Raw genomic sequence first — 12,000 nt, 5'->3', positions numbered from 1 at the left:
GTGACCACTCTTGGGCAGATGACACCCACTCCTCCTTTACTGCATGATGTGCGGTTCCACAGCAAAGGGAGATAATGAAATTTAGCTTAAGCAAGCTGTAGGTTGGAAGTTATAACCTACCTAATTCCTTAATTAAGCTATCAATTAAGGCTGTGTCGGTGCCACCTGCTATGCCTGGGCTTGGTGCCACGTGGCAGTGCCAGCTCCGACAAGCCCCTCCCTGCCGAACCCAGAGCTCCTGCCAGTCTTGACTCACTGCTCCCTTGCTCTCCCCACTGCATCTCCCCGGGACTTTGTAAGGGCCACGTGGAGCCAGGCTGCCCCCCTCATTTCTCATGCCTGTGGGGTGACAGAATATTCGGGGCAGCCAGCAGACCTCAGGTGGGCCTTCGGAGGGCCCTGACTTCCCCCAGGAGAACATCTGTGCTGCCTGTCTGCCCAGGAAGGGACACCTTTATTGCCTTGGAGGCCCCAAGCTTCAACCCAGGGAGCCACCTACGGAAGAGGGTAGCGAGCTCCAAGAGAAAGAAAGAAGGGGTTCAGGGAAGAAAGGAGGGCCCTAGGGGATAACTTCTGTGCACATTTATCTTTGGAATCTAGATGGGATTTCAGTAGCATGTGCTGAATGAGTCCATGGGTGAAAATAGAAAGCAAGGAGGAAAGAGCTGTTGAACCGCTTAAGGCTCTTGCCCTAAACATGCATGGGGGGAGCAGCCAAAACATCTGTGACAGCACCCTCCTGAGAAGGTGACGGTAGCTCACTCTTTGGGGTCACAGTGGCCTCCTTCAGGTTGCAGAGCTTGAGGCTCTGGTTGATATCAGACTCTGGACTAAAACCTTATCCTGGAACCTCCAGCTTCATGCGATTCTAATCTGCAGGCTGTTGGTACATGTGGGCCACACATTTGCCCTGCTGTGAGCAAGTGGTGGTGGTGGTGAGTTAGGTAGGAGACCTGCCCGTGACGTGCCAAGGAGACTCCCAGTGAACTGGCATCCCAGAAGGAAGACTTGACCTCCAGCCTCGCTCACCTTGGGCAAATATCTTTATCCAAAGAGGTTAACTCTGTTCTCACTTGACCATGAGGATGATGTCTAAGATCAGAGGAAGTATGAGCCATGTACTAATGGTGACCACACTGCACACCCCACTAAATGAAAGATGAAGGCAGGGCCACCCGGGAGCCAGCGTACTTCCCTTCCCCACTGGGGAGGCACCAAAGGTCTGTCTGTTTCAGCTTGGAAACCAAGCGAGGGTACATGATCAGCTTGGATTTTTTTCCAATCATTTGAGGCAAAGTAGTGTGCCATCTCCCTCCCTCCCTCCCTCCCTCCCTCCCTCCCTTCCTTCCCTCCTTCCCTACCTCCCTCCCTGCCTCCCTTCCTCAACATTCACTCCGCATTTGCTCTGTGTTTGGCACTGATTCTAGGCACTGGGGATACAGCAGTGCACGCCACACCCTTGCGTATCTTCCCTTCCGGTGGGGGAAACAAGGCAAAGGGAGCCCCAAGTCAGTTAGACCGTGGTGAGGGCTGAGGGAACCACCCCAGACAGAGGAAGCGTGGAGAATGCTGGGGATGGGTGGTGACTTTAATTTGGGTGGTCAGGGAAGACCTCCCTGAGAAGCTGAGCTTTGAGAAGAGGCTGGAAGCCATCTAGATATTTGGAGAAGATTCAGGCAGTAGGAATAGCAAGTGCACTGTTCTGAGGCAGGTGTGGGCCTGGCAAGCTCCAGAAAGAGCCTGCAGGCCAGTGAGGCCAGGCCACCACGGGAAGGAAATAGGGAACAGAGGAGCACAGAGACTCTGACGCAGGGAACAGACCACTAGGTCGTGAGATCAGGAGAGGACTGGGCTTTTACCTGAGAAACATGGGGAAGCTGTTGGTGGATTCTGAGCAAAACACTGATGTGACTTCTGTGCTGACACACTTCGTCTGGCTGCTGGTCGAGAGGACTAGGGTGGTGGGAGTGGGTGGATGTGTGAGGGGTGCAAAGTCTTGGCTGCAAACCAAGGGAGTGGATGACAGCTGGGTCAGGGTAATAGAGGTGAAGGGGGGAACATGGTCAAAACTGGGTATATGTTGAAGACAGAAGCAAAAACTTTGCCATTGGGCTGGATGTAGACTGTGGGGAGAAGGCTTTCTGGGTTTTGGGGTTGTTTGGCTGAACAAGTCAAAGTGGTAAGGTGCCATTCACTGGGTTGGGGAGATGGGAGGAGCAGGGGGATATCAGGAGTGCAGCACGGGACATGTTACACTTGAGATGACGCCTAATGTGAATAGGAATAGCCCACATATGCCGGGCGCGGTGGCTCACGCCTGTAATCCCAGCACTTTGGGAGGTAAGGCAGGCGGATTGCTGAGCCCAGGAGTTCAAGACGAGCCTGTGCAACATAGCGAAACTCCCTCTCTACAAAAAAGTTTTTAAAAAAGTTAGCTGGGCATGGTGGTGTGCATTTGTGGTCCCAGCTACTCAGGAGGCTGAGGTGGGAGGATCACCTGAGCCCTGGAGGTCAAGGCTGCAGTGAGGCCATGATTGCACCACCGCACTCCAGCCTGGGCGACAGAGTGAGACCCTGTCTCAAAAAACAGACAGACAAACAAAACAAGAAACAGCCCACATTTATGAGGCCCCTGTATGCCAGGCACTGTGCAAAGCATTTTACACAAATCATCGCATTTGACCCTTACAACAGCATTACTATCTTCTCTATTTGAGAAATAAGAAAATCGGTCGTTTTGCCCATTCACAGTCTTACCAGGCCTCATGCAACAAAAACATAGATCTTGCCTGTTTACCTTTTCTGTTCTAACCAGACGATTTCCTGGTCGGTGCTGGCTCCTCACTGTTAATGAAGATGTGAGTTGTCGTCCTGCTGAGCAGCAGCGGACATTGGAGTTCTGCTGCTTTGTTCTGCTCTGCGAGCCCATCCTGCTCCGTGAGCACTCCAGGGTGTCAGCCAGCAGTGAGGAACCCGGAGGCACTCGCCCTGCCCGTGGGGGACAGGGGAGACGCGGGTGACCGGGGTGCCCAGGGATGGGACGCAGTCACCTTCCAGATGCACAGCCGTGGGGAGAGCTGAGCCTGACACACGTGGAGAACAGAGATGTCCAAGGTGGGCACCAGGTAACCCCGTGGGCTTCCTAAGTAGAGGCTTCCACAACAGAAAGAGGGGAGAGGAGACAGCAACCCCGAGGGGAGTGGCTGAGCTGGGTGTGCGCATTAAGTTGTGGGGGGAGAGGGAGCGAGGTGGGGGTGAGTGGTGGGGGGAGGTGGCCAGGTGTGCGTGAGTGTGGGGGAGGGAGCCGGGTGTGGGTGACTGGTGTGGGGAGGAAGCCGGGTGTGCAGGGGGCAGGGATGGGTGGGCTGGGGGTGAGGCTGGAGCGGGGCTGGGGCTGGGAAGGGAGTAGGTGAGTTTGGAGGGAGGGGGAGACGGGGGGGCGGGGCCAGGACCCCTGAGCTCCTCATCTTGGGGCGTTTCTTTGTGCGTGTTCTGTGGTGGGATCTTCCCAGCATGGTGTCTTCGGGATAGCCACCCTGCTCACCTGGTGGCTCAGGGTTTTAAGCTGAGTCCCCGAGAGAGCGAGCCAGCCAGTGGGAGGCGGCCTCCCTTTTCTTCCCTGATTCGCAAAGAATAGCTGGTGTCTCTGCCTCGCAGTCCCCTTGTTAGAGGCAAGTGCCCACAGCTGGGCCCCGTTCAGGGGTAGGGGACGGAGACTCGCCCTTCTTCTGGGAGCCAAATCAAAAGAATTGGCTGACGTGTTGTCTACCCACAGACAACTGTGACACAGTCTGGGGACCTCCTAATTGGAAAGTCTCTGGGCACCTGCCAGTACTGGCCCTCGATGCTGGGTGTTGGGGCATGGCTGGGTGATGGCAGAACATGCCTGACTTGAGGATGGCTGGCCTGCAGCTACATTTTCTGAGACTAAACAGCAAGTCTGGCCACCAGGGAAACCGCCATGTTGTCTGTAGTGGGGATGGCGTGGATCCGCCGAGACTGTAGCAGTCACCACCGCCCTCTGCCCCCCAGGAATGCAGAGTCATGTTAGGAAGGAGGAAACAGTTAGGAGATGGAGCCCTAGACAAGACAATGACCTTGACTTTGGTTTGCCTTTGGTTTGGGGATACAGCGGCAGAAAACACAGGCCTTGGAAAGACGCAGGTGTCCTGGGTGAACTCTCAAGCCAGATGCAGCCACGACTGGCCCAGCACATGGTGAGTGGAGGCCCGGCTGGCAGAGCCTCCTTCCACGGTCTCGGCGTCAGGGACACGATGGGGAGTAGGGTGCTCCGTGTGCAGAAACTGGACTAGAAGGAACTGTTTCATTACAGGGGGATCAGCGGGCCTGGGGATTCAAATATACTCCAGGCAGCATTCAAAGCCTCCTGTAAGGAAGCTGCGCGGTGAGATATTCACCCCCTACCTGCTCATTAGGAAAACCCACTCTGGAGCTGGGGGAGGGATAAACAGTGTCGCTCTTCCTGGTGCGCTGGAGCTCCCTGATGCAACGCGTGGTCTCCTTACACTCAAATGAGTGTATTCTGTGCGCAGACTTTTCTTAACGGCCACGCGGCCCCACGTGCCAGGCAATGGCCAAGTTGCAGTAACAGTAACAGCTGGGGTTCTTATTCACTGCAGCAAAGCAAATAAAGAGGAAACTGAGTTTCACCTGAAGCGATTGCCTGCACTGCTTGGTGCGCCTGGCTCCAGGCATCGCCACCTCGGGCCTGACCCGGACCTTAGGTTTCAGAATTAGTGACTTCCTTCTGCCAGGCTGAGCAGGTTCCCATGAGGCCAGGCAAGCATTTCTTGGTGGAATGGGGTTTGGCAAATGTTGCAATGTTACATAAAAATAATAAGTAAACACAAAAAGAGAAAGTGACAGTCAAATTTGGAAACTGAGCAAAGGTGAGCAGATTTCTGTTTTTGTTGTAAACAGGACTTCTCAGCACCTTCAATATGCTGCCTCGCTGTGCACGTCCAAAACTATACGTGGTGTTTTCCACACCTTATTTGACCTGTGTTTCCATGATCTTCTTGGGTGAAGAGTGCTCCGGTGGTAACATATGTCTTAGAGCCACTCAACTTGTAGCCCGTGACCTGGGGCCACCTGGGGGACTGGTTGCTACACGTCTGCGAAGAGGTAAGTTCAGAAATTGAGAGTAAGGTTTTGAGAACTTTTAAAGCATTTGGCAGACTAATTTTCATATTTTTTGAATTTAATCATAAAGTGGGGGGGTTGCATTTCTTTGTTTTATGAATCCTGTTTTCCTAGAAATTAATGTTTTGAGTACTTTAACAAAAAAATCTGTTTGCAACACTCTGAAAATGTAGATGGTCCCTGACTTTATGATGGTGCTAAGGTGAGTCCAAAAAACTCAAAACTGTTTTTTCTCTGCTCTCGCACCACAATGATCAACACAGAAGACCTCTGTGTGGGTGGGGTTTTCTCCACTGCACGCCAATGTGCAAGCCGTCAGTTCTGCAGAGACACCAGTTGGGTGTCCTGCAATCCAATTCAATTCTGACGCTATTGACACTACCCAGAGGTAGCGTCAGATCCCACAGGCTGAGGACTCAGTCCACAAGACTCTGTCCCCACTCCTGCTGCCAATCGCAAGCCCCAGGTGGCTCTATCTGTGCTTCTCAGTGACCAGCTATAAATCAGGGTTCCCACGACTCCCTTCTTGGGTTCGGTTAATTTGCTAGAGTGGCTCACAAAACTCAGGGAAGCCCTCACTTACGGTTGCTGGTTTACGATAAAGGAAATTACAAAGGATCATGATGAAGAGATGTCTAGGGCAAAGTATGGGGGAAGGGGCGGAGCTTCCAGGCCCTCCCGCCACGGCGCTGCCCTCCAGAAACCATGTTTTCAGGTATCTCAAAACTCTCTGAATCCTGTCCTTTTGGGGACTTTTAAACTATTGGCCATTGGCGGTCACCTTCAGCCCCCACAAAGACAGAGGCTGGGACTTTCAGCACCCCCGCCCCTAATCCTGCCTTGGTCTTTCTTGTGAGTAGCCCCATCCCAAAGGCATAATACCTAGAGTCTGCCAGCCAGCAGCCGATCATTCACATACAGAAGATACTGCTTTGGAGATTCCAAGGATTTTAAGAGATGTATGTCAGGGAACAGGAAGACCAAATAGAAAGCGATAACGCACTCAGCAGAAACTACTTTGAGTACCCGATAACCATTCTGTTTTCCACTCTCAGTACAGTATTCAACAAATTCCATGAGCTATTCAACAGTTTATTATAAAACAGGCTTTGCGTGAGCTGATTTTGCCCACAGGCAGGCTAATGGGAGCGTTGAGTGCATGTTTCGGGTAGGCCAGGCTGAGCTGTGATGTGGAGTGGGTTAGGCATTCAATTCATTTTTGACTTAAGGTATTTTCAACCCATGACGGGTTTATCAGGACAGAACCCCATTGTAAGTAGACGGAGGATGCGCCCTTGCCCTCATCATCTGAGAATGTCCCCACCAACATCAAACCTCCCATCGGATCTTTGAAGCATTAGGCTCAGAGGACGAAGGTCATCCCAGACTCCTGGCTCCGTGACGTCCGGTACCCCTGACCTCCACAGCATCCATCACTGCGTATTACGGCTTCTTCAACCCCCTGTAATTGTCGTGTGAGTGTGGATTCTCAGGTCCTTGTTTCTCGCAGAGGGCCATCCATGCCTTGACCCACGACAAGGATCCAAGCATCCGGAGCTTGTCTGGAGAGAGCTTCAGAGGAGGAAGGAAGGGACAGCCATCACCTGGCACCGCGTGCAGCCCCCTCACGTGTCCGTCCTCTCCTGGGCCCTGAGTCTCCAGCTGACAGCTCAGTGAGAACCTCAGAAAGCATGACAGGCTTTCGGGAAGGGTGGCTGCCCACAAAAAAAAAACAGGAGGAGGCCTGGGAAGATGGAAGCAGATCGTCTGAACACTGCTTGCCTTTTGTTCTCTTTAATGGGCCGCTCACGTGGGCGGTTTTTTTCCTCGTGGTCTCTGAAGTGTTCTCCAATAGAAGCCTTCAATCCTTTAAAAACAGTCATTTCTGTAACAATGGTAATTGCTTTAATTGGAGCTCTTTAAAGGTAGATCCTTCTCGCCCACCTCCTCCCGAGATGTGGGTGGTGTTCTGATCTAGCCCGCCGCTCTCCAACAGCATGGTCTTATTTCCTCTTTATCACTATGAATGGGCAATGTTAGGGGTATTACCAGAAAGAGGCCGGATTCAGACTCCAAGAGAGGGTTCCTGGACCTCATGCAAGAAAGAATTGGGGCTGAGTCCACAGAGTAAAGCGAAAGCAAGTTTATTAAGAAGGTAAAGGAATAAAAGAATGGCTACTCTCCACACAGAGCGGCAGCATGGGCTGCTGAACTGTTTCTACTTAAAGATATTTCTTGATTATATGCTGAACAAAGGCTGGATTGGATTATTCATGAGGTTTCTGGGGAAAGGGGTGGGGATTTCCCAGAACTGAGGATCTCTCCCCTTTTTAGACTATGTGGGGTAACTTCCCCACGTTGCCGTGGCATTTGTAACTCAAGGTGCTGCTGGGAGTGTCTTTGACATGCTAATACATCATAATTAGTGTTTAGTGAGCACTGAGGATGACCAGAGGGCACTTTTGTCGTCATCTTGGTTTTGGTGGGTTTTGGTCCACTTTTTACTGCATCCTGTAGGGTCTTTGTGACCTGTATCTTGTGCCCCTTCTGTCTCATCCTTCCTGTGACTAAGAATGCCCAGCCCCCTGGGAGTGCAACCCAGTAGGTTTCAGCCTCATTTTACCCAGCCCCTGTACAAGCAAGATAGTCACTCTGCCTCAATATACTCTAACAGGAAGGAAGCCCCTCCCTCAAAAAAAAAAAAAAACCTTCCAAAACGAGCTATTTTTCAGTTCCAGGTAATAGTGGATAACCAGCTTTATGTATAGGAAGCAATGCTCCTTGTATATGGGGGGCCAGATCTGCATTTGGAACTTACACATAGGATGAGGACTCAAAGTCCCACCGGGCTCCATTTCAAAGTCCCACCGGGCTCCATTTCACCACAAAAGCATCTCCTGCCCCCCAGCAGAATCTGTCTGGCACTCACATTTCTGGGGGACTGGCACTGTTACTGATAATGGTTGGCCCTCCATAGGGTCTTTCATCCCCAAATAGCCACATTCTTTAGAATAGCTGCTGTTTGGGCCGCTTGACACAGTTAGGGACGTGGGCATGACCCCCTTCTCTTTCTGTTCGAGGAAGGTGAGGGACAAAGGAGCCACACTGGAAGGACACGCTCGTTTGTTGGGGGTGTGGGAGGAAGCGCAGGGCTGGCCCGTGGGCCAACGGCTGCCTCTTATGTTCTGTGTGTCGCCAGTGGGGACAGAGACAGCATACTCTTTGGTTCTTGGGGTTCTAGTTTATGTCAGGTTTTGCTCTCCCAGTTGGTGTTGGGTGACATTGCTAGAAATGTATCTATCACGGATATCTAAAGACGGAAGCTGGGAGCCATTGAACTTTGCTTCTAAAACTCCTCCTTCTGGAGTGTAAAGAGCAAAAGTGAATAATCTGTGCTCTGAGTTTCTTGTGCATTCGTGTTTTTCTGTCCTTTCTCTGCCCCTTGTCCACATTTTAGGAAGATAATAAAAATGTCCATTCATTCTACTCCTATATCTGTCTATCTACTCATCATCTGTCCTATGCCTTTATCAGTCAATCAATCATCTATTCACCCATCCTGTACCTCTATTTATCCATTCTATACCTGTCTACCCATCCGTCCTATGTCTCTATATGTTTTCTGTCTTTCCATTCACCCTATACTTAAGTCTTTCTCTATTCATTTGTGGCAAGCCAGGTCTCATTAACGCCGGCTTCCATAAAAACAGTTTCAGCACTGAATATGTGGTTAAACATTAAAAGCCAATAGAACCAGCACCCTTATACGAAGGCTGGAATGTAACAAAAGCCCACCAAGAGTTTTGCCCAGGCCTTTCCTGGGCCTTGAAGCATGACAAGATAACAGAGGAGTGCTTAAAAGGACCTGTTTAGGGTTAAACAAGCTTACTGGGGGTCTGAAGAAACTCCCCAGACCTCCATGATTTAGCAGGAGACAAGCTAATGGTAGTCACCCCAGCACCTGGACCCAACTAGATGAAGCAAATTTCCTGAGGCTCCAGAGGGAGGTCTTCAAGACTCAGCCCTTAGTTATAGATGAGAAGAAGTTAATCGCTTAAGTGTGTAGAGGAATGCACACTTACACATAGACGTATAGCTTAGAAGGTATGTAAGCTCTGGAAAACTTTGTAATTTTGAGTTGGTCCTAGTGATAATTTCCAGGCCTTCTCTCTGTACCTAGTTACAGAAATCAACTCTCTTCTTTCCCAGTTCATCTGCATCTGGTTATTGGGCCGTGAGAATAAGCAGCCCGACCCCTCAGTTTGGTCTGGGAACACATTCATCCATCAATCCTATACCTATATTTCTATCTATTCATCCTATACCTCTACTCATTCATTCTATACCTATATATCTACCCATCCATCCTATATCCCTATATATTTTCTATCCATTCACCCTATGTTTATGTCTTTCTCCATCCACTCATTCATCCATCCTATACCTGTATTCCTATCTATTCATTCATCCTATATCTCTGTCTTTTGTATTATCTATTTATTCACCCTATACTTATCTCTCTCTCCATCCATGCTATACTTCTATCTCTGTGTTCTCTATCCATCCATCCACCCACCCACCAGTCAGTCAATCATCTATCTCATTCATCCATAGCTTGTACATCCAGGCCTCGCTGGTCTGTGACTGCCACCTAAACCATGTGCATCTCTCCATGAATCCCCCAGCCGCTCTTTAATCCTGTGAATTGTCCATCCTGGGTCGCCTCCTCACCCAGGTCTCAGCCCTCCTAAGCTCTCTCGGGAGTCTGAGTTGGCAGTGTGGGTGTCTCGGGCACGTCTGTGGTGGAGCCAGGCGCGGTACGGCCATCCCTGGCCCAGGCTGCTGCCCCGACCACATGCTGGCTGTGGCACCCGGCACTGCATTTCAAGCATGGGACTGGCTTCCCTGACATTCCCACGCCATGGCTGAAACCAGAGCCTCCTGGAGGCGAGGCATGAAGAAGGGAGGGGAGGCGGGCTCGGGTAACACAGAGGTCTCCTGGATGTGGCTGTCAGAGTTTCCAGGAAGGTCTATCCTCGAGGATCCCTGCAAGGGACCCCACCTGGCCTCCAGGTGGCACTTATGTGAAGGAGCGGCCCCGCCCTCCTGCCTTTCCTAGGAGAGCTTTGTGTTGTCCCTGACCTGGGGTCCAGCCCAGCTGCCAGGAGGCCCCGAGTAGCAGCCGTGGCTCCAGCCTGAGGGGCTGGCCTCCGTGTCCGCATTTCCTGTCACAGGACCAGCCTCTGCCCAGGTGGCAGGAATGCTCGCTGTGCTGGACGGGCGCCCCGTCTCAGCCTCGCGGCTGCTCGCCTGCCATTGGTCTCAGAACATAATGGGCACCCAGTGGGACTCCAGCCTTAGGAAGCAGCAGGCTCAGGGCACAGCCTTCTCCACCCCTGAGACACAGCCAGTCCCACCCATGCCCTGGGCAGGGCTGAGGAGAGGACAGGGCCTCCTTCCCTTCTCATGGATTCTCCACCCCGGCCCTGGTCTCCTGCAGATGCCCATTCAAAGGAGTGAGCACGCATCCTGCACCCTAGAAACAATGCAGTTCAGGGGCAGCCGCTGCACATGCACCTGGGATAAGAAATATTTTCGAGCCCTTTAATGAATATAATGAGTTATAAACTAAGTAACTTTTTTTTTTCAGAAACAGTTCTGATTCTGCCATTTCTTCCGCACAGAAGGTGTAGCTTCCCAGGCTAAAACATCTGCCTTCAGAGCAGTGGTGTCTGGAACCACAGTGGCTGTTTGCTGTACACTTAGTAATCAAAGACCACTTTCGGTGTTCTTCTTGAAACAAAGCATCAGTCTGCCCCAGAGGTAAATTCACATTTCTTCTTTTTCTTATTTCTTTCTTTTTCTTAGATAAATACTGCTTGCGGGTTCTAAATAACTTTTAAGAAAACACAAACTTAGGGCTTGGAGTTGTATTAATAGTTAAGCGTCTGTTTGTCTCCTTAACTGTGTACTGCCCTTCATCCTGCCACTTTCCCAGCACCTCACAACTCTATTTTCCTCTTTTCTTGTTTATTTCTGTCTCCCCTGAGCTGGAGGTTAAAGGGTCCACCTTGCACGTGCAGCTGAGCTACGGAGGCAGCTGCAGGGATCCCCCTCTCCTTGGAAGCGGTCAGTCATGTAGGGGGGCTGCCTTCCTCAGTTCCTGGCCTATTAAGAAAAAGGAGGGACAGGTGCAGTGGCTCATGCCTGTAATCCCAACAGTTTGGGAGGCCGAGGCGGGTGGATCCCCTGAGGTCAGGAGTTTGAGACCATGCTGGCCAACATGGTGAGACCCCGTCTCTACTAAAAATACAAAAATTAGCCCGAAGTGGTGGTGCACGCCTGTGATCCTACCTACTCGGGAGGCCGAGGCAGGAGAATCGCTTGAACCAGGAGGCAAAGGTTGCAGTGAGCCGAGATCGTATCACTGCACTCCAGCCTGGGCAACAGAGTGAGACTCCATCTCAAAAAACAAGGAGATAAAAAGGTGGGTGGTGTGGGGGCAGAAGCTATCTCCAACCTTGCCTAGCTCTTAATGGGCTCTTCAGCTGGATCTAGAAACCAAAGTGCCATCAGGCCAATTAACAAGGGAGAAGCATACAAGTTTTAGTGGTTTTACATGTATGTGGGGATCTTCATGAGAGACTGAAGAAGTGGCCAGATTAAGATGCTTTTAAGACAAAAAACGATACATTTGACAAGAGATGCTAGTGAGAGAGGAGGTACAAAGAAATTAGCTAGGTAGATAGTTAGGGCAGAGTCCTCAGCGGAACTTCTCTTCTAACAAAAAGCAGCCCAAGAAATTACTTCTTTTCTAACAAACAGCAGCCTGGAAGA

At 51.1% G+C, this 12,000-nt stretch overlaps 4 annotated features.

The window, feature by feature from the left end:
- Positions 3,133-3,796: an enhancer, noted in NCBI's record as "H3K27ac-H3K4me1 hESC enhancer chr10:11486238-11486901 (GRCh37/hg19 assembly coordinates)". NCBI's record gives its function as "activates a minimal SCP1, AML or CMV promoter by ChIP-STARR-seq in primed H9 embryonic stem cells {active_cell/tissue: H9 hESC(primed)}" and the evidence as "EXISTENCE:reporter gene assay evidence [ECO:0000049][PMID:30033119]".
- Positions 3,797-4,459: an enhancer, noted in NCBI's record as "H3K4me1 hESC enhancer chr10:11485575-11486237 (GRCh37/hg19 assembly coordinates)". NCBI's record gives its function as "activates a minimal SCP1, AML or CMV promoter by ChIP-STARR-seq in primed H9 embryonic stem cells {active_cell/tissue: H9 hESC(primed)}" and the evidence as "EXISTENCE:reporter gene assay evidence [ECO:0000049][PMID:30033119]".
- Positions 6,732-7,244: an enhancer, noted in NCBI's record as "NANOG hESC enhancer chr10:11482790-11483302 (GRCh37/hg19 assembly coordinates)". NCBI's record gives its function as "activates a minimal SCP1, AML or CMV promoter by ChIP-STARR-seq in naive H9 embryonic stem cells {active_cell/tissue: H9 hESC(naive)}" and the evidence as "EXISTENCE:reporter gene assay evidence [ECO:0000049][PMID:30033119]".
- Positions 7,384-7,493: an enhancer, noted in NCBI's record as "active region_3011". NCBI's record gives its function as "activates an Ori minimal core promoter by ATAC-STARR-seq in GM12878 lymphoblastoid cells {active_cell/tissue: GM12878}" and the evidence as "EXISTENCE:reporter gene assay evidence [ECO:0000049][PMID:35858748]".

Source organism: Homo sapiens, chromosome 10 (assembly GCF_000001405.40).
Source record: "Homo sapiens chromosome 10, GRCh38.p14 Primary Assembly".
Classification (NCBI taxonomy): domain Eukaryota; kingdom Metazoa; phylum Chordata; class Mammalia; order Primates; family Hominidae; genus Homo; species Homo sapiens.
This window is presented reverse-complemented; position numbering and strand designations above follow the sequence as displayed.